The sequence below is a fragment of the Homo sapiens genome, chromosome 6 (genome assembly GCF_000001405.40).
Source record: "Homo sapiens chromosome 6, GRCh38.p14 Primary Assembly".
In the NCBI taxonomy this organism is placed as follows: Eukaryota; Metazoa; Chordata; class Mammalia; order Primates; family Hominidae; genus Homo; species Homo sapiens.
This window is the reverse complement of record NC_000006.12, coordinates 157,550,689-157,573,693: the sequence shown is the minus strand read 5'-3', so window position 1 is coordinate 157,573,693 and position 23,005 is coordinate 157,550,689. Positions and strand designations below refer to the sequence as shown.

Here is a 23,005-nt window from a genome sequence, read left to right as displayed (position 1 = left end):
TTGGACCACGTGCACAAAGATGGGAAGGGCATGGGGTTAAGCACTGTGAGAGACCAAAGCTGGAATAATTTAAGGCTGCATGGGCTTGGAGAGGGATCCTTCATGAAGGGCGTAGGAGGGAGCCAGGGTGGGCAGCAGGGGGCCTACCCCACATGACAGGGATGGGGATCTAGAAGGGGCCCTGGGGCATGTCCCGCATAGAGATGGTTCGTCTCTCTGCCCTTGCTGGAGGCATGCAGGGCCAGGAGGCTGGGCAAATTTTTTTCTACTTAGGCTCAAACCATTCTGTCGGGCTTGCCCTCGTGAGGTGAGCAGGACATGAAAGGCCTGCCACTGGGTACATGCTGGTCCCATGGAATGAGATGGAACCGGCGTGGATGCTTTCCAGCTCTGGGAGGGAGCACAGGGTGCACCCGGTGCAAGGGTTGGAGAGCCCTGACCGCGCTCTGACTTGCAGAGGAGTCCCCAGAGCTCCTCAACAGCTGGCAAGAGGGTGTAAGTGGTGGGAAAGATGAAAGGGGAGTGGGGCCGAAAGAAAGGGGGATGGCGAGTGCAGACAATCCTTGCCTTTCTCGGAACAGGAAGCTGGTTTTGAGTTGTAGGGGGTAATTTCGTTAGAAAACACAAAGGATTTGGGCTTTTCCCAGACTTGGTCATCAAAGGGCATGTGGGATGATCTCTTGAGGAGAGAACTTTGTCAAGAAGAAGGCATTTGTAGGATAAGAACTTTAAATAGGCCCTCTAGCCCCAAGAGAACCTGACTACTTAGGGCCTTAACAAGGAATTGACGGGGGAAAAAGCCCAATGGAAGTATTAGTAGAAAACCTTTTTCTGTCTACTTAATAGAGAACAGAAACAGGTGGCCTCGAAGAATGAGTTTCATGTGCTATGCAGTGCTAGGTTCTTTATGCATTCATTCAAATATTTATTAGGCACCTACTGTATGCCCAACAGTCCTCTAGGTGCTGTAGATACAGTGGTAAACAAGGTAAGTCCTCTGTCCATGAAGGGGAACATCACACACCGGGGACTGTTGTGGGGTGGGGGGCGGGGGGAGGGATAGCATTAGGAGATATACCTAATGCTAAATGATGAGTTAATGGGTGCGGCACACCAACATGGCACATGTATACATATGTAACAAACCTGCACGTTGTGCACATGTACCCTAAAACTTAAAGTATAATAATAATAAAATAAAAAAAAAGGTTAGTCCTCTTTCTTATTGTGGCTTGTACTCTAGGGAGGCCAGATAAACCCAGAATCTGTATTTTTTAATAATTTAAGTGTGCAGACAAATCATACTCATGGCAGATCTTAAACTTGGCTGATGATCGGGATCATCTAGGGCAGTGGTTCTCAACCAGGGCGATTTGCCTCCCGGGGGAAATCTGAAACCATCTAGAGATGTTTGTAGTTGTCATGAGTGGGAGGGAGTGTCACAAGTGGGACCTAGTGGGTGGTGGCCAGGGGTGTTGCTAAATGTCCTACAATGTGCAGGACAGCCCCTCCCAACAAAGAACGTTCCAGCCCCAGATATCAAGAGTGCTGAGGCTGAGAGGCCCTGCCCTAGGGTCTTGCTACTCAAAGTGTGGGCCATGGACTGGCAGTATTGGCATCACCAGGAAGCTTATTAGAAATGAATCATCTCAGCGTCTCCTCCCAGCCCCGACCCTGCTGAGCCAGAATCTGCATTTTCAAAGATTCCCCACACACCCTCCCACCCTGAATTTGGATTTGGATGCACGTGAAAATCTGAGGAGCCTTGCCGTAGGTGCACACACTTATTAGCAGGCAGGACAAAATTAACAGCAAGTCAGCCAACTAGTTAGCTAAGCTTGGTGAAGTCCCCGCCCCAAGCACCATTCACGAAAGGTTTACTTACCTAGCAGGCTCAAAAAAAAAAAAAAAAAAAAATACAGATTCCTCATTCCTGAAGATTCTTATCTGCAGGAGGGGCTAAGAATATGCATTTTTATAACAGCTCCCTGTGTACAGCTGAGAGAGACAGGTTTGTACACCATACAAGTAACAGCTGAACCCCAAGGCTGCATTTCAGTACCATTAGCTGGGGAATCTAAGCAGCTGGCTAAAAACACAGACAAAAGAGAAAGATGCAAGCCACTTACGAAGATGCTCCCGTCACCCAAAGAGCTGATATTATCTAGTTAATTATGGAAGGTCTGCCCAGTAAAACAGCCAGGCCAGGTGTTTAAACTGTTTGTTTTTGTTGTTATTTATAGCATCGTGAGTTTCCGTTCAAAGAAACTTTTACAAAGAACCTCAGTATACAAAACAGATGAGAGTGAAGCAGCTCTGGTTTATGGGGACACCCAACATGTCTGTCCCTTGCCTGGGCTCCAGGAGGCACAGTTTGAAAAACATCATGACAGACAATAGCTGTGGTCTAGAGTGCATGCTGATTTTAGGTGAGAAAGACCCTAATAAAGTACGTTTCATTCAAGGAATGCTCTCGTGCACATAGGCATGCTCTCATGAAGTTGAAGTGGCTATTTGCTTGAACTTTAACGTGAATGCGGAGTGGCAAACATCAATGTTCAAAAATGATTCCATGAATAGAAACACAAATATTCCTACAAATTGTTTTGAAAATATAAGTTCCAGAAAATGGAAACATAGAATGGCCCCAGTAAAGAGTATGATTCTTTGATCTGGTGGAGAAAACAGACTTCAGCTTCTCCATTTTTAAACCATGACAATCTCAGTTCCTGCAGTTCAGGGACATTGTAATTCATGCAAAGACCTTGAACTGTCAGATGCTATGATGTTCACAGCTATCAAAAGCTCTTTTTTCAGGGGCTGCCCAGACTCAGAAGGGCAATATAGATGTATGTGTGTGTGTATATATATATATATGTGTGTGTGTGTGTATATATATGTGTGTGTGTGTGTATATATATATGTGTGTGTGTGTGTGTATGTATATACATATATATATCACTAATTAGTACAATTAAAAACAATAAAAAGAAAGTGTTTAGTAGCTGCGACCTTTTTAGTTTAACTGAGTTAATCCAATACATGCTCATAACAAAATGAAAATTAATGACTACCTTATATTTTCCATACTATTTTTTTCCACATGGATGCCAAAGCCTTGCCCTTGAAAGGAAAAGAAAGTGGCTTTGTCCTTGCAAAGTTTTAATTTCCCTCAAATTGTGTCAAAGTTCTCTGAGTATATACACAAAACCGCTGTGCTGCGTAAGTGAAGATCAGTTCTTCCACTGAAAGCCAAAGCTAGAAATATTTGTGTGTTTCCACTTTGTGGTACATAATTTCTGCATTGTCAGAAATGGGTAAATATTGTACAGTGATAGAGATCAATTTGGGTTGTCAGTGTTTGCATTATTGTAAGACAAGTAGACAAGAACAAAGGTAAAAAGTGGACACTGGATACCACGCTATGGCAGGGCCAGGCTTCACCATTATCACCAGGAAAATCAGACAGGCTTTTATTGAAGTTTGAGTGGCATTAATATTGAGAGCATTAGCAAAAGACCTGAATGCAAGGGCTGGTTTATCACTCATTCTACACCGGACTGGTGCAAGATTTTATCTTTAGCATTGAAGAAAAGAGAATTAGGATTACCAGTACAGAAGCAGGGGATGCTATTTATAAGTACACTATACTTTAAAGAATAAAAATGCCCATCTATTATGGTCCTAAGCTCTTTTCTTTTTTGCCTCTAATCAACACAGATTGGATAAAATGAATAAAAATCTTCATTAAGGTTAACAAATATAAACCAATATATATACAAGCTTTAAAAGTATTTTTATATATTTAATGACACAAACAGTTGGAAACTACAAAGAAGACAATGTCTCCTTTGAAACAGAAAAATATAACCACAAAACTCTAGAAATAAAGCTAACAAAAAAATGGTAGGTAGCTTCCGTGTGAAGAAAAAAACAATACAACAATATAGAGACTTGAAGGGGGTTTTGAAAACCACAGAGAGACACTCTGCTTCCTGCGGTGGAAGATTCAGTATTTTAAATATGTCACTTCTTCCCAACTTACTTTATACATCTATTACAATGCTAATAGAAATCTCAATATGATTTAGAAAAATTTTGACAAATTTGACAAAATGATTCTAAACTTCATCTGGAAGAATAAACGTGAGAATATTTGCAAAAGTAAAATAATAAGGGGAAATCATTGGCCCGGGAATAAATAAAATACTGAAACAAAATAGAAGATCCCCAATAGACAAATTTTCTAAGACTTAGTATCTGATAAATACAGCCTTTCAAATCAGTGGGGAAAGCATGGATTATTATTAATTATTATTTTATTTATTACAAATAAACAAAATTAGGATAGACAGCTAATCATTTGAGGGAAGAACCTGAAGTTAAAACCACACCTTCAAAGACATACCAGAGACTAAAATGTAAAAAATTATAATATGTAAGAACTAGAAAAATATACATAAACTTATCTGATTAGGAGGAGTGGAGTAGGGAAAGGTTTTTGGACATACGGGTTTTTAAATTTTTATATGGTTAGACTATCAATCTTTTTCTATATAGGTTGGCTTGTCACATAAGTTTGGCAACATAAAGAAAAGATTGATACTCTGACCACATAGAAAATAAAAGACCTGTATGTCAAAAAAACTTCATAAAAATGCAAATGATAAAGTAGAAAAATATTTGTAACATATATAACAAAGGGTAGTATCTTTAAAGAGCTCTAATAAATAAATAGAAAAAAGTCAAATAGTCCAGTGATAAAATGGGCAAAAAAGATGAACAGGCAACTCACACAAAGAAATAACAGCTATCAGTAAATATATTTTTTAAAGTTTGTGATTTGCCCCCAACCCCCAATTTCAAACAAGCGAGGTCAAAAGTTAATTTTACTTGACAATATTTGGTATTGTTGAGAACAGTGAGGATAAGCATGCTCATATACTTTTGGTGAAGATATAAATTTATACAGCCTTAGGGGGAACAAGTTAGTTGTATATCTCAAAACATTAAAAACGTATGTATCTTTTGGCCCAGCAACAGCATTTTTAGGCATTTGACTTAAGGAAATTTTCATGAATACTGAGTGCAACATTGTTTTTAATTAATATTAAAAACTGGAATCAACTTCAATGTCAACAAGACGGGATTTATTAAACAAATGATGATGTGATCATACAGTGGATTACTACACACCTATTAAAAATGGAATTCCTGTGAAGAAAGGTTCAAGTATATTAAGAGGAAAAAAAATCTGCCTTCAAAATAGTAATGTACAATGTGATCCCATTGGGTAAAAATACATTATGCAGAGAAAAAAACTGGAAGGATATATAAAAATGTTAATTATTATATCTTTGGTAGAATTAATTAAGTACCTTTAATATATTAAAATCAATTTTCATTTTCTTCTTTATTCTTTTTAAGGATTCTATAATGGACATATATATTACTTTGTAGTGAGAAAAAACTATCGCTTTTGAAACAGTTTGGAAATAGGCATAAAACATTTGCAAAAGAAATTGGTTCCCTACAATTCATAAATTTAGATGTCAATGAAGTATTTCTGCTGCTTTGGAAAAAAATGCAAGTTCATAGTTTTCATAATGATTTTTGAAAGATGTCCCCTCTATTTCCCCTAAAGGCTGGTTATAAGTGAGTAAAATGTTTTTCAGATTCTTACTTCACTCTGAAGCTCTATGACAAGGAGGTATTTCACTCATTGGGGCCACCTGCAGCTCTTGAAATTTTAAGTCAGCTCTTGGCCTTCTGGCAGCCCTACAGTGCTGTAAGGGGCTGAGTCCAAATATTAGCTCACTTAACACGGACTACTTCAGTGTAACCACATCAAACCAATCTGGTCCAACTTTTTTTTTTTTTTTTGAGATGGGGTCTCACTCTGTCACCCACGCTGGAGTGCAATGGTGTGATCTTGGCTCACTGCAACCTCCCAGGTTCAACTGATTCTCCTGTCTCAGCGTCCCAAGTAGCTGGGACTACAGGCACACACCACCACATCTGGCTAATTTTTGTATTTTTAGCAGAGATGGGGTTTCGCCATGTTGGCCAGGCTGGTCTCAAACTCCTGACCTCAGGGTGATCCACCCGCCTCAACCTCCCAAAGTGTTGGGATTACAGGCAAAAGCCACGGCGCCCGGCGGGTTCAACTTTTATGTACCAAAGTTGTGATCTGTTTTTCAGTTGTCATGGACCTCCAGGTTGAAGGTCACATAACCTGAGCATGCCCAGATGAACCAAGCCCGCAACCACAGGTGGAACCTAAGTGCTTAGAGTGAGGAATGGGGACAAAATTAAGAAGTGGACATTGCCTGGCATCCAGGATCCAATCAGATTGAGCTCTAGGCTCAGCCCACGGCAGTCAGATGGGGCTCCCGGAATCATTGCATTACAAGATCCAATTAGATCACACCTCATTACCCTATGTTTTTGCATCTGCCCCAGCCCCCAGCTTGACAAGACAGTTTTGGGAACCATCCCTGGTGTTCTCCTTACTTGTCACAAGTAATAAAACCCCCTTGTTAGGCCAGGCATGCTGGGTCACGCGTGTAATCTCAGCACTTTGGGAAGCCGAGGCAGATGGATCACCCTGAGGTCAGGAGTTTGAGACCAGCCTGGCCAACATGGTGAAACCCCGTCTCTACTAAAAATACAAAAATTAGCTGGGCATGGAGGCACATGCTTGTAATCCCAGCTACTCTGGAGGCTGAGGCAGGAGAATGGCTTGAACCCGGGTGGCAGAGGTTGCAGTGAGCCGAAATCACACCACTGCACTCCAGCCTGGGCGACAGAGCAAGACTCTGACTCAAAAAAAAAAAAAAAAAAATTCCCCTTGCTAAATTCTCCTTGGTTGTGGTCATTGGGTTGATGCCCCCTCAAGCAACCAAACACACACAATGTGGGTAAGAAAATTCTAGTGACCCAGATGGGACTGGGACTTGGGTTCTGACCCCAAACTCCTCGAAGGCTCACTATGGGCAGAGAGGTGGACAGTGGTAGCTCGCCTGGGCTAACTCACATTGCCTGAGAGGCATTGGGTGTGATTTCCAGGGACCTCCCGCTTGGTGTCCAGCCCGCCAGAGTGTCATTCGGACCTACCCTGAAAGAGCAGAAGTGGCCGTCTGGAGATTTTGTCCAGCGCTTCTTCAGGGTGGTAAGTGGACTTCACCCTGTGGGCTAAAAGAGTAATTCTCTGGATCTAGCAATGGGATCTCTGGACTAAGCACAGTACACCTCTGGTTTCAGTTCTGTCCTTTTCCTTGGCCATTTTGTGCTCTGGGGAACTGAAAAACATCCCATCCTAGCAAACAGCAGTTTCTGTTTCTGGCCACTTCGTGCTCTGGTGGACTGAGAGACACCCCCAGCCTGGCAAATGACAGTCTGGATTCGGCTAGCCAACAGTGGGACTGGCTTCAGGAATTCGGGTTTTTTTAGAGAGAAAGACTTGAGCTTTTCCTTCTTTCTCCTTGCCAGTTGACTCGCAATAGAGCTTTTCTTCTCTCAAAAGCCAATGCCATGGTGTTGGCCTCTATGTGCATCAGGCAGTGAGCCCAGTGATTGCTTGGTAACATCGGCATAACATTTATCTCTAAGAAAAGTGCCTTTTATGCTACTGGAAATTGCATTCTTTCATCTGCCAAAATATTATCCAGCTTGTGCACCCAGAGAAAGCCAGGGGCAGAGGAAAGAGCGTTTTCCTGGGAATCAAGAAACCGAGTTATATTGTCCCCGTTCTGCCACCACAAGTGACTTAACTTCCCTGGGTCTCTTAGGTGTATATAACAGGGGGCTGGAGAGAGAGGTTCCTATCTGTTTTGGGTCTAGGATTCTGGACAGGGGTTTCTCTGGACCCAACCTTTTTTTTTTTTTTTGGAGACGGAGTCTTGCTCCATCACCTGTGCAGTGGTGCAATCTCAGCTCACTGCAACCTCCGCCTCCTGCACTGGGTTCAAACCAGTCTCCTGCCTCAGCCCCCCATAGTAGCTGGGATTACCACACCCAGCTAATTTTTGTATTTTTAGTAAAGACACGGTTTCTCCATGTTGGCCAGTCTGGTCTTGAACTCCTCATCTCAGGTGATCCGCCCGCCTCGGCCTTCCAAAGTGCTGGGATTATAGGCGCGAGCAACTGCATCTGGCCTGTACCCAATCTTTTGACTCCACTGACCCTTGCTTTGGTTTGGGCTCTTCAATATGCATGTGACTGAATCTGAATAACACTAAGTAACTTGCCTATGTTCCCCATAAACTAATTTTTTGTATTTTTGCCTTATTCCCACAGATGGTAAATGTGTTGAAGGCACACAATAGGCAAGCACTTAATCAATGCTTATTTAACTCAAATCCAGTCCACCATTAATTACACGAAAAATCTCAACACCTCTCTACTTAGACTGATTAAAATGAAATTATTCAAATACTCTTTTTTTTGGAGATAAGGTCTCACTCTTTTGCCTGGATGGAGTGCAGTGGTGCAATCTTGGCTCACTGCAACCTTGACCTCCCAGACGCAGGTGATCCTCCCACCTCAGCCTCTCAAGTAGCTGGGACTCCAGGTGCATGCCACCACACCTGGCTAATGTTTTTGTATTTTTAGTAGAGGTGGGGTTTCACCATGCTGCCCAGGCTGGCCTCGAACTCCTGAGCTCAAGTGATCCACCCACCTCAGCCTCCCAAAGTGCTAGAATTGCAGGCGTGAGCCACCATGCCCGGCCCAAATATTCTTACTTTGGAAAATACTTTTACATCAAAAGCAGCATGCAGAAGCTCACCCACAGATCTCTATAATTTCACCCCTCCTGCCCCGTATTGACCTTGGAGGACCCAGAGCAGCCGTCAGAGGCCCAAACCTATGAGTTCTCAAAGGGAAATCAGGCAAAAATGAGTTTTATCTAAGTCTGATCATAAGATTGGCAGTATTGATTTTGTCCTCCTTTGCTGGTGCTCAGTGGTACTTTAATAAAGGACTATAAGTGCTGTGAAATCAAAATGTAAGGGCTGACAGATTTAAGAAATTATTTCTTAGCAAGCATCTTGTGATCAATAGCAGTTTGGTCTAGATTTTGACATACACAAAACTTATTTCATTTATCTTTGTATTATTTTCAATGTTTACTACCTTGCAGAGATGTCTGACAACTCACTAGACATCTGATGTATTGGGTTGAACTGAGTTTCTAGTTCTAGAGATTTGTCTGTAATGGTCACCAATTTCTACATATTTTAAAAAATGTATTCATAACATAAAAGACAATTCCTAAATACCTATAATTCTTTCCAGCCAAATAGACATACTGATGCCTCTGAATATGTTCTTCCCCCCAACCCCACTTCTGGAAAAGAAAGAGACCTGCTCAGGTTCCTGGTGTGGTTGACATGAAGACGGCAGAGGGAATTGGGATCTGAATCTTTGTCTTCTGCCTGATTATCCAACCAAAGCCCCCGCCCTGCCCCAACTATGAGTGAGCAGGCACCAGCTGTGACCACCATGCAAGAACAGTTCTAACTGAAGAATGTGAGGTTGGATTTTTTTAAAAATCTGGTCAGCAGAAAAGGAGTTTCTCAATTCTTTTGTCAATTTCACTAAGGAGAAATACGATTCTGAGACATTCTTTGAATTTCCAGCCCAGTTTCCTCTCTGCAAGGGCCCTGACATCCTCAGAGTGAAACCTGGTAGGCTTTTGCTTTCTGTCTGGCCCTTGGGGTTGGTCTGCAGACAGGGGTTCCCCCTTAGGGAGCCACTCAGAATGGCTAGATTTGGGGATGACTGAATTCAGCCTGAAGCCTATGAGCCCACCAGAGCACACTGTTTCGCTTCCATGCAGCTTCTAGAAAAGTCCCAGAACTGCAATGCAACTGCAATGCAACCTCACTCACCGCAGCCCCACAGCCTCAACTAACTAACCTAGAAGTCTGGCCTTAGAGTTCCCCGGGTGTTTGAGGTCTGGACATCTGCAATCCGTGACTTGTGCCTCTGGTCCTAGTTCGCACTTAGTCCTGTTCAGTGCCCACCGCATGCCCCTGCTGGCTGGGGACACACTCCAATCTTTTTTACATCCTATGTAAAGAAGTGACCAGCTTTGTTCTGGATACACACAGTGTGGATACACGGAGCTGCTGGGGCTGGCAAGTGCTTGCCATGGGGTCTCTCTAATAAGCACCACCTGAGAACCAGGTATTGGAGGCATAAGAGCACACACTCCCACTTTCAACAGAGAAATTCCACTCCGGGAAGGGGGAAGAAACAAAACAGCCTCCCCCAAGTCAGAGCAGGGCAAGGCAGAAACCAGCCACTCCTGGGTGATCTCACATCACCCGGACCTGCTCCGGCTCCTCTTCTGGCTTGGAGCTGGGGAAGAGGCACGCTTAACGCCCAGGCAGGCCAAGCTCGGGCAGGGGCCTTTCCAGGAAGCATTGCTAAGCGGTGGCCGTGGTGTTTCCTGGGAGGGCAGGCCTGGCCAGTACTTCTGCCATCCAGGCCCTTGAGTCAACCTGGCTGCCTTCCCCTCCAGCCTCCAGGCTTGTAGTGGGAGCAAGGACTCTGCCTTAGTTACCACCTCCAGGAGTCCAGCCCAGCTCCGGGTGCCTGGGAGACACTAGGCCCTTGTGGAGCCGGCTTCTTACCGCAGGAAGACCATGAACCCTACATCCACATGGCCCCAGCCTCCATGCCGCCTTGCTCCCTTTCACCTCCTGGGCAGCCTCTTGTCAGGAATGCACAGCTCTTGCAGGGCAGGGGTGGGGTTGGGGAGTTCTAGGTTCTTCCTTGACCTGGGCACAGTGGGTGCTTGGGGGGCGGTGGGAGGCGGGAGGGAACCGTTGTCCTGAGCAGCTTCCTAGCTGACACAACCTCCATTTTCTGAGGAGGCTGCCCCTCTCCACAGCACTACACTTCACACACATAAAACGCTCCCTATATATGTGAGGATATTTTAAGTCAGTGACTCTCAAACATTACTGTGCTAGATGCAGATTCCCAGGTCCTGTCTCCAACAGACTCTGGGTGGTGAGCTCAGGACTGGGCCTGGAACCTGCCTGCGAATGAGCTGCTCAGGTGGCTCATCGAGTGTCTGCTGACCTCAGCGAGAGGCAGCAGCTTAGGGTCCCCTCCCTCTCTGTACCTGGAGAAGTGGTAGTCTTCACAGACCCTCTCGGGAGCCCCCACCCCAAATCTGCCTAGAGAATCGCATGGAGAGCCCAGCAGCAGCCCTGGCCCCACCAACAGAAAATGAGGGGCCAGCCAGGGACAGCGGAACAAGGCAGAGACCCCTCGCCACGCTCACAGAGCTTCTGGCCCAGGAGTCCCAGCGTCCACCCTGGGAGCTTCTGCAGCGCCTTCTCTGAGGCTGCACCAGCTGTTCTCACGGCTAAACCCCAGTTGGGCATCCCTGGTCCCCACTTCTGCCCTTCATTGCCCAGGGCTGTGGGTGTTGTGGTCACAGATGGACTGACTTATAGGCCCTTCCTCTCTCTTCTCATGGTTGCCAACCAGGCTACTGCAGGTCCCCACAGCCCCTACGCCCCCAGGCTGCAGCTGCTCCGTCTGACTGCCCCACACATGTTTTCTGGATACCTTCAAGCTGCATCTTCTGCCCCTTCCCTGTGAAAAGCTGTGTGAGTTGAGGAACTGAAATCATTTTGTTTATATGTTATAAACACCCAGGTTTCTCACTGAACCCACAAAAACCTCAGATACTAAGGGAAAAAAAGTATCTAACCCTCTGAGAACATCTATGTATTCTGCGTTTAACTTTTAAATTCAGGGCCCAGCACAGTGGCTCACACCTGTAATCCCAGCACTTTGGGAGGCCAACATGGTGAAAACCCCACTTATCTACAAAAAATACAAAAAATAGCCGGGTGTGGTGGTGCACACCTATAATCCCAGCTACTTGGGAGGTGGAGGCAGAATCACTTGAAACCAGGAGGTGGAGGTTAAAGTGAGCCATGATCACGCCACTGCACTCCAGGCTGGGTGACAACAGTGAAACTCCATCTCAAATAAATAAATAAATTCAACTCAACAATTCAAGAGGTCTGGGTGAGAGCACCTGCTCTGTGCCAGGTGTGCGTGTATAGTTTCTGTTTCCTAATTATAAACTGAGGGTGGCTGCTTTGTCATTTTTGTCCCCCATGTGTATCTGAGCGCCGGGACAGCAGGTCTCACATGCGCGCCCGTCGGACACTCTACCTGCTGAGTCAGAATTTCCAGGGGAAGGTGCTCACTTGTATATGTATACATTTTATTACTGAAAATAATACACACGGTAAGAAAAAAAGCAAGCAGGTAAACATTTCCAACCTCCACGGGATTCTATTCTGCACTACGATGGCAGCCTTCAGCCTAGACCGTGTCCTGGCACGTGCCAGCTGCTCAGCAGGTGTTTGATGAAAACTCAGCATGGCCTCTGAGCTTTGTCCCTGGCCCTGACCCCAGCAAGGCATGCTTCTTCCACACACGGGATAGATTGTTTTCAATGAAGCAGAGTGAATGTCGTTCTCAGGTGTAGTTGCAAGAAGCCACACTCAGCAATGCTCTCTGAGGCGATTTCCAATAAAGGACCGCCTTGCACAGGGCAGCTAACACCCCCACGCTCTGAGGACCTGGGCTCCCCGAAATGTCCTTCTGCACTCTGCATTTAAATGCTGACTATTTTTTGGTTTTAGTTTCTTATGGGCTTCCATTCCAAACAACTCATTACAGTCTTGTTCAATTTCTTCTTTCTCATGTTCTAGTGGGTTCGTGATTAGACACGCCACGCCTCATAATGTTGTGCTTGGATAAGCAATCTGCTATTTTCACAGCTTCTTCAGGTTAATGCATCCGTTCCTCATAATGCTTCTGTGAGTCAGGCAAGGCCGTGGGATCCCATTATCCAGATGAAAACACAAAGCCCCTAGAGAGAATTCGTGATTTGCCAAGGCCAAGGCAATGAGTAAGAAGTACTGCTTAATAAATGTTTGCTGAATGCATATCTATTAATGCTAGAGTTTATGTAATGACATTTACTGATTTTTTTTCTTCTAATTATAAAGGTAACACATGCTCATCATAGGGAATATCAGAAACGTACAGAGAAAAAAACTAAAATTACTTGCCAGTCCAATCACAAAAAAAAACTTGTTTATATTTCCTTATAATTCCTATATATATTAAGATCCCAATGTACATCCAATTTTGTATTTTGCATATTTTCATTGAAATTGTATAAGGATAACTTTTATAAGCCATTAGATATCTTTGATATCAATATTTTAAGACGTTCTAACAACGTGGCGTTTACAGAAGCAGATTGCAAAGGTGATTCACGAGGACGTGGTGGTTGGCCATCTCTCTGGGATAAGTGGTCTTCAGCCGGGCACCTGCTGCCCCACAGGCTTTTGAAGAAGGTGTACTGTAGCTGTTGTGTAGGCAACTGATGTGGCAACAGTCGGCCCCGCTTCCTGGCTGACACGCTCTTCTCCAGGACAGCTTTGCTCCCCAGCAAGTGCAGCAAAAATTCACTCCAGAATCAGTCACTTGCCTCTTTCCGTGGGCATGACTTTAGAGCCATTGGCTTTAGAGCTGAGTTGGCCACCACCCTGTGCCTGCATGAGTGGAAAGGTATAGTGTAATTCATCATAGACGTATAGTGTAATTCGTGTATCCATTTCCCTCCTGGTATGCATAGAAATTGCTTCTACTTCCTTTACACTATTATAAATAACTCTATCATGAACATCTTCATGTTTATTTTCAAGTAAGGTTTCTATTTTGCTCCCTGCAGCCCTGTCCATGGGGGCCTATTTCAACTTCTTTCACAGTGAATTTTTTCCATCATTTTATTATTTTGGTTCTTCATGTTTATTTCTAAAACTTGACACAATGTAGAAAGACAGCTCCTAATTCTCTCTCTGTAAATCCAGACGTTTCAGAGCTTTCCTTCCAGACTCTTTTCTGGACAAAACATTTATAATGGGTCCAACTCCAAAATAGTATTCATGACAACCTGGAGCTTGAAGTGGGGAAAAACAAAACAGTGAAAACAATGAATGGAGTATGTCTTTAACTGAGAATGAGAAGAAGTGCCAGGAAACATGAGCATGCTGTTATTCCAGGAAGATGCCCTTCAAGATGGCAGGGTGGCTGGGCTCTCCTTGGGAGACCTGAGGGCAGTTCCAGCTTGAGCGGATTCTTTCCACTCATGCAGGCACAGGGTGGTGGCCAACTCAGCTCTAAAGCCAATGGCTCTAAAGTCATGCCCACGGAAAGAGGCAAGTGACTGATTCTGGAGTGAATTTTTGCTGCACTTGCTGGGGAGCAAAGCTGTCCTGGAGAAGAGCGCGTCAGCCAGGAAGCGGGGCCGACTGTTGCCACATCAGCTGCCCACGCAATAGCTACAGTACACCTGCTTCAGAAGCCTGTGGGGCAGCAGGTTCCCGGCTAAAGCCCACTTGTCCCAGAGAGATGGCCGACCACCACATCCTCGTGAATCACCTTTGCAATCTGCTTCTGTAATCACCATCAGTCTCTCTGTAGTCATAATTGTCAAAGTGTGCAAATAGTTATTAAAATATTGATTAAAGAAAACCAACAACCATTTATCATCATGGAAGAGTGGTTGTTAACTGCTTTTATCTCGGCAGAGCTTCATGGGGAGCTTGAAAAAGCTCATTGTTTGTGTGTTTTGAGCTGTAAGAGTTGGGAAGTGTGATTAGACTCAAAGGGCTCACTTTCATTTGTATTAGAGAGCTGGGGGGAAATCCACCCTCCGAGGTTGGGGGCTGAGCAGCTGTGCCTGCAAGTCCTGCTTCCAGATGCTTCTCCCCTAGAAAGTTCCTACAGCAGGGAAGAGGAATCTCTGATCTACATTACTTGAACTTTGTTTTATTGTTTGTTTGCTTTTTTTTTTTTACCACCAAAGTTCACTTGGTGATTTTTGCAAAATGCCATCCCAATCATTTTTGTTTTAGTAATGACTCCTTACAACCACCCTGTGCACTGTCAAGTGGAAAAACAGAATCATAAGGGCCTGAAATGAGGATCCCAAACAGAAGACATAAAACCAAAAACACAATTCTGAGTCTTTCATTGCTTTTGCCTGAATCCAATCTTTCTTTACTGATGGGCCATTGCTTTTCTTATATTAGAAATTCCTCCTCTCCACAAAATTGGATTCCATGTTTGCACCAGAGTCATTAGTTTTGTTTTCCTCTAGACTTGGTAACAGCTGGGTGTCAGCCCTCTCGATTGGCTACTCTTGTCACTGAACGGCCTACCTGTGGGCGCTCTGGGTGATCCATGGCTCTTGAACAGTTTCCCTGTGTAATGCAGACTAGCCAGGTCAGAAATGAACCATCAGAATACCAGGCATCTGTCAAAAGGGGATCAGGGGGACATGAATGTCACCTGGCTCAGAGTAATTATCAGCCATTTCTGGGAATGGCAGCATGTCGGTTGAGGAGTTTAGATCTATGCTGTCCAAGGTGCTGGCCACTGTCTGCAGGGGGCTCTTGGGCACACATATTGTGGCTAGATCTCAAAGATTTAGTACAAAAAAAGAGAATGTAACATATCTCAATACTTTAAATATCTTTACATATTGATTACTTTTCAAATGATCATACTCCCAATAACTGGGCTAAATAAAACATACTATTAAAGTGAACTTCACCTGCTTCTTTTTACTATTATACAGTGGCTGCTGGAAAATTTACCATGTGTGGCTTGCATGTGTGGCTCACATTATAGACTACTGGACAGCGCTGGCTTGGCCAATCAAAATCATTCATTGGAAATCAGGGGAAATTCACTATTTATCCCAATAAGGGTGACGGAAGTGAGAGCAGTCCCCAGTACTCTGCCCGGATTGCACAGCATGGGCCTCCCACAGGGGAGTGGCCGCCATTCCTTTGCTAGTCTATTTGCTTGGGAGCACTGAGCTGAGAGCCATCTATTGCTCACACTCCTCTCAGTGGTTACAGAAATGAAACGAGGAAGTCTGCAGATAGCAATGGACCCAGCTGACAAGAGGTGGACCACAAACCCCTTCCTTGTCTTGAAGTTATTCTTAGAGCTAAATTTGCAAATAAGGACAACCAAAGTCTTGCCCCTAAAATAACGTTTTGTTTTCATCTCATTCTTCCATCTAACGCATGCTGGACACATCTAACCAACGACTCACCTCTGCCGAATGTGAAAATCAACTGTGCACTTTCTGTCCATGTCTATAAAATCCATATATATTATAGGATGAGCCATTGGAGACTAAAATCCTAACATGGCAAAAGTCAAGTTTCTTTTCCCTTCTATCAGAACAGGCACCCCTACCAATCCTGACGCCTGGCAGAACCCTCCCAGAGCCACCAGCCTGGCACAGGTCCTCTGCCCGCCCGTGGTGCTGGCCCTGCCCCTCTGTTTAATTTGGCTGCAATTTCCCACTCTGCCCTGACCTAGTCACCACTAGCAAATCCTCCTCTCCTGCTACAGCGTGCGAGAGGCTGTGCTAGGCCCGCAGGTGCAATATTTCATGTCATTCTCCGAGCAGCCCGGCAGTTCAGGTGGTGCTATTTTGCCCCTGGTTCAGAGAAGGTGACTGCAGCTGGAGGGCTGAGCGGCCTCCCCAGGACACAGCCCGGAGTGGCATGGTCTGGTCCAGGCTCTCGGCCTTTCCCTCGTGGAGAAAGAGGACTGAGTCCTCCCTCAGTGTCTCTTGGAGGGATCCCTCTGCGCTCCAGTTCCCTGATACAGGCCTGGCCTCATCTCTAACCCGAGCCCCTCAGTGCCCGCAACTCTTCCTCCTCATCAGCCCCACCTCTCACTGGCTTCTCCACCAGAGTCAGCACTCTTCAGCTCGCCTGGAACCCGCCCGGGCCTGTCCTTCAGCTGGTGGCAGCCATCTCTTCCCCTTTCTGTCCCCACCTGTCACTCTGCTCCAGCCTTTGCTTCAACACCAGCCTCGTGTCCCCTGTTCCAGCCCCGGGGCCTCGGCTCTGAGCTGTCTCCCTGGACTCCATCTCTGGCTTTCTTGTTCAGTCTCACTCTGTACGTGCTCCTGACTGTGCTGTCAATTAGGGTAGGCATTTGTATTCCTTTCAAACCTTGTTTGACTGCCTGGATTCGAGACCCGTTCCGCCTGCTGGCGACAGGAGCTCCATCCCCTGGCACTGCCTTAACCCCTACCAAACAGCACAGTGAGGGCATGAGCTCAGCGGCCAGGCAGGCCTTTGAGCTGTGCTCTGCTGATTACTAGTTGAGAGGCTTTGGGAGTTACTCGTCCTTTGCGTGCCTCAGTTTTTCCAGCTGTAAAGTGGGAATCACAGTAGCCTCTGGCTTAGAGGGCTGCCGAGAGGACTGATGGGCATGTGGAACACACACACATGGGGCCCGGGGACAGCGAGCGCTGTGGGGTGCTGGCCATCCCCCCTTCCCACCCTCCACCCCCCACCCCTGTCCTCTCTGCTGGCTCTGCTTTCCTGCCTGCTGACGCCTGCCTTGTGCAGCTATGACCCACCACAACACGAACCAAATCCACTAATTACTCCGAGTACGCCACGCTTGGCAGCTGAAGACATCTAGCTGGGGTCCCCATATTTTCCTGTTCAGTCGCTAGTTTGTAAAATAACACCTCCCTTCTCCTGGTCTCTGCCGCCCCGCATCCCAGTACCGCCTCCTCCGGCCATTCATGGCCTGCGTGTCTTGTGAATCCAGCGTGCATCTCTGTCCTCCAGAGGCCTCCCGTGATTAATCCCTCCTGATCCCCTCCTAGGCGGACGGTCCCTTCAGCCCTCACAAATTCAGTTCACATTACAGCAGTGGTTCTCTACTGGGGGTGACTTTGTGCCCAAGGGGACATTTGGCAATGTCGGGAGATAATTTTTTTGGCACAATTCTAGTGGGTAGAAGGTGGGGATGCTGCTCAATACCCTGCAATACACAGGGGTGGGGGTGCGGGGCCCACAACAAGGAATTATCTGGCAACAGGGCAGGGGCTGTAAACCCTGCATTACAATAATCTGTCCTTGTTGATGCTGCTCTGTTTAAAAAAAAGAAGCTATCAGGGGTTGCACTGTGCGTGCTAGCCCTCCAGCTGGAATTCTTTTGATTCTTCTATAGCACCTAAGACAATACCATGCCTAAGATGGATTAACTGATAATGATTAATTTTCTAAGTAAACAGCTATCCAGGAACATTTTTCATTACATGTCTGGGATATCCTACGATAAAAAATAGCCACGTAAATGTTTGAAAAGTCTGTGTTCCTTGAGAGAAAAAATGGGGAATTCTCTTTGTAGTCACCAACCAAAAGTTTGTTCAGCTACAGGACAGACGTCCTGCTGCAAGGAGGGCCTGGGGGGTCAGGCAGCCTCATCAGCCCTGATTACGCAGACAAACCATTTGTGACCAGCTCCGTGTCTGTGTTCCTTTCTAGGAACATGAACTTTTTGTTGGCATTCACAAAATTAATATTATGTAAGATACGAAAACCTCATCATCTGCCTCTAAGAGAAACATGCCTTTTCTTTTCTAGAATGGAAGTGGCATTGAGGAAGGTGCATCCAAATGATGTAAAATCCATGTTGAGTCCTTAAGGGACAGCTGGGAAAGAGAGGGGCCCTGGAAGAGAACCCTGGGCAACCGTCACCCAGTCTGTCAAAGGTCTCTCCTAAAAACATGAGAACTGTATAGAGGAGAGAGAAGACCATAGCTCCCACTCCCACTTCGGGTGGCAGGATTGACACACAGGGGTGCAGGCACCCCTAATTCAGGTGGGGACTTATATAGAGCACAGGGGACTCAGCCTGTAACTGACCCTGCCCAAGAAGTCAACAGCTGAGGCAAGGCTGATGAGAGTCATAGGCATTCCTGTGTGATTCTTGATAGATCTCTCTCTGCAGAGTGTCACCACCATCACAGTGGTGATCACAGAGGAACAGCCACATCCCAAATGCCGACGTTTTTTTACTCGCTGGCTCAAAAAGCTTAGAATTCTTTCAAATGATCAAAAATAAAATAAATAAGATGGATACATCCGAGAGATTTCAGTTAAGTCTTTAGGTCCAATTCCTTGTCCTCTAAATCTGTGCAGTCCAGTTTGGGAGCCCCTAGTCCCGTGTGCCTATTCTACAGAGCTCTGGAAGTGTGGCTAGTCTGAACTGAAATGTACTGTGTGACAAAAGAACGTAAAATCTTCCATTAGTACTCTTTTATACCAAATACACATCAAAATAATATTTGGGATATTCTGGCTTAAGTAAAATATACTATTAAAATTAATTTACTTTTAAAAATATGCTTTTTTACTTTTTAAATGTCACTGCTAGAACTCGTGCCGTCTCGCCTACGGCCTGCCTTACATTCCTAGTGGAGCTGCCACTCATCGTCCACCAAGGGTGTTATATTTGGGTTTGGTGAAGGCAGCAGAAGATTTTAGCCCACTTCTATTCTGCTAATTTCTACTGAATGTAAAGAACCACTCCCTCATTCACTCCAGGACACTTAGACTTCGAGTTTCCATCCTTAAAGGAAAATGAAGAGATTTTTAAAAAGTGGACGCTCCAAATTGTGGTGGTATGTAACATGGCATTCACCCACTTGGACTTGTGTTTTCTCCTAGAAAGCTTTATCTACAGTTTCTGAATAAATGGTGTTCGCTTCTGTCTATCTATGTCAGCCAAGTTTTTTCTCTAAAAGCCTTGGAAGGTAAATTTGGACAGATGAAAATTATGGGGAATTTCTTCCTTACCAAACATGGTGGCAGGAAGAGCCCTCATGGGACAACTCCACTCATCCCGGTGGCACCTCCGTCTGCTTTCCCTGTCCTCTCTCTAAGTACCCGCTAGGCTCTGAGTGCTGCCCATGTCAGACTTTCAACTACATGGTAGCCATCAATCAACTCATGTTTGTAGGCAATGATTCTTAATCTCAGAACTTATCTACCAGAAACACAAAATAAACAGTTAATGTATCTCCCATCCTTACATGTAAGTTTTCCAGGGCACAGAGGGAAGGGAGATACAGCTCCCCCAGAGCAGGCTGTATTTCCCCCCAGCCCTCTCCCACCCCCCAGCATACGAGTCTAAAGTAAAGAAGTGAGAAAGGTCACCGGGAAGGCAAAGGGTGAGTTGGTTTGATCATGACAGGGGTTCGGAGGGTGATTATTATGGCAGAGTCTCAGTAATATCACAGATGTGCATGTGGACCCCAAAGAGGACACCTCAGCAAAGTCCTATTTTCACAGAGTGTGTGAACATGTGGATGACCTGAAGGCATCCGTGATAAGGAAGATCCCATCCTTGCCAAACTCTAGTCAGGCATCTCTGAGTGCTCTTCCCAGCGAGGCCCTGATTTGGGGGCTTCTATGTCTGTTTCTGCAATGCTCAATTTTAGCAAAAGTCCTGCTGAGTCGAGTTAGCCAGAACCCTCACCCTCAATATCTGATCCCCTTTGCTACTCAATGGGGCTCCTCATCCCCCACCATCCCCCAGGGAATCTCTGACCACCCTGGCCTGCCTTCGCCTGGAATCTGGTTAGGTTGGTTTAGCCAGAAGCCCCCTCAGCCCTGAGGCTTCCTTTTAGTAGTCTTCCATCCACTGCTCCCAACTCTGCTCCTTGGCTGTAAATTCCCACTGTTCCTTGCTGTATTTGGAGCGGAGCCCAATGCCTCTTCCCTACTGCAAACCCCACTGCACTGGTCCCTATGACCCTGCATGGTCTCCCTGAATACAGTCTGCCTTCATGTTTTAACAAATGTCCTGAATAATTTTAACAATGAGGTGTGAGAGGTAATCAGGGACAGTCTGAGTGTGTAGTTTGGCAGATGGCTCTAGGTTAGATCAGATTCCCAGTCACAACTCCAGCCACCAAAAACTTGCAGATGTGTATTATAAGGCAGGGTGTAGAAGGCTCCTGGGGCCGCTAGGAAACAAGCTGTCCCTGAGAGGCTCTGCAGGGAAGGCCTGGCTTCTGAGGCAGCAGCCTCTGCTCTCTAAGTCCCCTCCTGGGCTCAGCATGGCTGGGACTCTTTTCCATGCCGTTGCACCTGCTCAGTCTTCCCAGGTCAGTCTCCTCCCAAACAGGTCCCGCCACACCTCCTTGCCTTGGTCCATTTCCTCCGTCCTCATTGAGTCCTTTGCTTCCTTTTGTTCCTGAGCTGCCTTTCATGTTACCTCCACACTTGGAATAAAAATGCCTCCCACTTCCCAAGCACAAAGAGCTGCCCACTCCCCTGATTAACATCCTCCAGGGGGGTTTTTCTCCTGAAAAGCCCATCTGGCCTCCCCTCCTCCTCACGCCCAGCACATCCACTGCAGAGGGCTGTTCCAGAGATTATTGTGCCCAATGTGCCGCCTGCCCTGCCCTGCCGACTCTGCATGAAGGGTTTCATCTCTGGCTTCCTTCTAAAACCCAACTGACTGACTGACTCACTCCCTCACTCACTCAAAAGAGCTACCGTTCCATCATCTTGCTTTATCCTCCCAAATACGCCAGTTACACTACTAATGATAGTAATATTCCAGTGAGTCATTGAAATATCTTATTTTGCAGTACCTACAGTTTGCTTGTTGAATTTACATGGGTGTGCACGGAGCTTTGCATTTTAAAATTAACAGAAGACGTCATTTCTTCTGTTTAAGCAGTGGAACCGTCGAAATAATCCTCTAAAGTATTTAGGTTCCCAGATTTTCACAACCAAGCAAAGGAGAAAGAGGGATTTATTTCTAGAATCATGGAATGATAACGCTGGAATGGCTCTTTGCACTCAGTGGGTCTATTTTACAGACACTGAAACTAAGGCCCCAAGAAGTCAACACACTTCTCAAAGTCATAGACTAAGTTCATATGGCTATTTTAAATATGTAATAATAAGGAATAAGACGCTATTTATCTCACAGGCACTGCAGGGAGGGAGGTGATTAAACAGAACGCTCAAAGTAGAGGAACTTGTAGCTAGCAAAACTCCTGAAAATACGACAGTCCTGGGAGTTGCAGTGGAGAGGAAGCAGAGGCTATGCTGTAGAGGAAGGTCACAGGAGGGACGTGGAAAGGCCCCAGGGCTGTGCTTCTCACATTCAGGTGACTCACCTGTGGTCTTGTTGCAATGCAGATTCTGATTTACCAGGTGAGTCAGGGCCCAAGAGTCTGCATTTCTAATAACTCCCAGGCGATGCTGACATTACTCTTCCATGGGCCTCAGTTTGAGTAGCAAAGATTTAGATATTCTGTTTCAGGAGCCAGGAAGTTAAAGGAGGGCTATATATACCTGGACTTGGAACCAGACCCCATGCCAGGGTCCCAGGCCTGTCACTGATTGGCTCTGTTGTCAGTGGGTGGAGTTACACCTGTCTCTGAGCCTCAGTTTACTCATCTGTAAACCAAAGGAGTTGTCCAGGGTGACCTCCATGACTGCTGAGGTCCCTTTAAGCTGGAATGTCCCATGACTCAGAGCCCTGCAGTGGCCAGCACCCCAGGAGGAAGGGAGGGGACACGGAAAGCTGTTGTGAGAGATGGACAGACCCACAAGTCATCACCTCTCTTGATGCCCTTGGCTGGGTAGGGGTGGGCCTGGAATTTTCACTAACATGCTCCAGACCACTCTCTCCATGCTTTGACTGTATTCTTGAACCATGCATGTGGTCCCAAGTTTTCCATCCTCTTCATGCCACTTGGTCCTTTACTCCCCACTACACCACAACCTCTGTGTTCCTTGCCCTCAGGATGACCTTCTCCTCACCCTGGTTATGCCATCATCCTTCCCCTTCCATGGCCCTGTATATAAGAACTGATTATAATCACAGTATATTCTGTGTTTTAGCAGAGCATGTCAACATTGCTGTACGCCATCATCGTGCCAGCTCAACACAAACTCTAAAGAAAGTGACATTGGTGCAGTAAGAGAAAGATAGACTTCCCCTTACCTGAAAGGAAGTGGTATCCTGGCTTTAGGGAGGAGTTCATCAATTCTACAGAGGAGATTTCACATCTTTACACAGGTACACAAACTACACA

The 23,005-nt window shown here is 45.8% G+C and overlaps 1 protein-coding gene across 7 annotated transcripts in view, besides 9 other annotated features; it reads right to left on the bottom strand.

Moving 5' to 3' along the window:
* ZDHHC14 (zDHHC palmitoyltransferase 14) overlaps positions 1 to 23,005 on the bottom strand; it is a 296,968-nt gene that overhangs the window by 104,464 nt on the left and 169,499 nt on the right. The gene's annotated exons all lie outside the window — the stretch shown is intronic.
* Positions 130 to 862: an enhancer, noted in NCBI's record as "H3K27ac-H3K4me1 hESC enhancer chr6:157993864-157994596 (GRCh37/hg19 assembly coordinates)". NCBI's record gives its function as "activates a minimal SCP1, AML or CMV promoter by ChIP-STARR-seq in naive H9 embryonic stem cells {active_cell/tissue: H9 hESC(naive)}" and the evidence as "EXISTENCE:reporter gene assay evidence [ECO:0000049][PMID:30033119]".
* Positions 10,906 to 11,879: an enhancer, noted in NCBI's record as "H3K27ac-H3K4me1 hESC enhancer chr6:157982847-157983820 (GRCh37/hg19 assembly coordinates)". NCBI's record gives its function as "activates a minimal SCP1, AML or CMV promoter by ChIP-STARR-seq in primed H9 embryonic stem cells {active_cell/tissue: H9 hESC(primed)}" and the evidence as "EXISTENCE:reporter gene assay evidence [ECO:0000049][PMID:30033119]".
* Positions 11,517 to 11,596: an enhancer, noted in NCBI's record as "active region_25336". NCBI's record gives its function as "activates an Ori minimal core promoter by ATAC-STARR-seq in GM12878 lymphoblastoid cells {active_cell/tissue: GM12878}" and the evidence as "EXISTENCE:reporter gene assay evidence [ECO:0000049][PMID:35858748]".
* Positions 11,717 to 11,796: an enhancer, noted in NCBI's record as "active region_25335". NCBI's record gives its function as "activates an Ori minimal core promoter by ATAC-STARR-seq in GM12878 lymphoblastoid cells {active_cell/tissue: GM12878}" and the evidence as "EXISTENCE:reporter gene assay evidence [ECO:0000049][PMID:35858748]".
* Positions 12,157 to 12,286: an enhancer, noted in NCBI's record as "active region_25334". NCBI's record gives its function as "activates an Ori minimal core promoter by ATAC-STARR-seq in GM12878 lymphoblastoid cells {active_cell/tissue: GM12878}" and the evidence as "EXISTENCE:reporter gene assay evidence [ECO:0000049][PMID:35858748]".
* Positions 16,190 to 16,975: an enhancer, noted in NCBI's record as "H3K27ac-H3K4me1 hESC enhancer chr6:157977751-157978536 (GRCh37/hg19 assembly coordinates)". NCBI's record gives its function as "activates a minimal SCP1, AML or CMV promoter by ChIP-STARR-seq in naive H9 embryonic stem cells {active_cell/tissue: H9 hESC(naive)}" and the evidence as "EXISTENCE:reporter gene assay evidence [ECO:0000049][PMID:30033119]".
* Positions 16,190 to 16,983: a biological region, named in NCBI's record as "H3K27ac-H3K4me1 hESC enhancer GRCh37_chr6:157977751-157978536".
* Positions 16,674 to 16,983: an enhancer, noted in NCBI's record as "active region_25333". NCBI's record gives its function as "activates an Ori minimal core promoter by ATAC-STARR-seq in GM12878 lymphoblastoid cells {active_cell/tissue: GM12878}" and the evidence as "EXISTENCE:reporter gene assay evidence [ECO:0000049][PMID:35858748]".
* Positions 20,651 to 21,473: an enhancer, noted in NCBI's record as "OCT4-NANOG-H3K27ac-H3K4me1 hESC enhancer chr6:157973253-157974075 (GRCh37/hg19 assembly coordinates)". NCBI's record gives its function as "activates a minimal SCP1, AML or CMV promoter by ChIP-STARR-seq in naive and primed H9 embryonic stem cells {active_cell/tissue: H9 hESC(naive and primed)}" and the evidence as "EXISTENCE:reporter gene assay evidence [ECO:0000049][PMID:30033119]".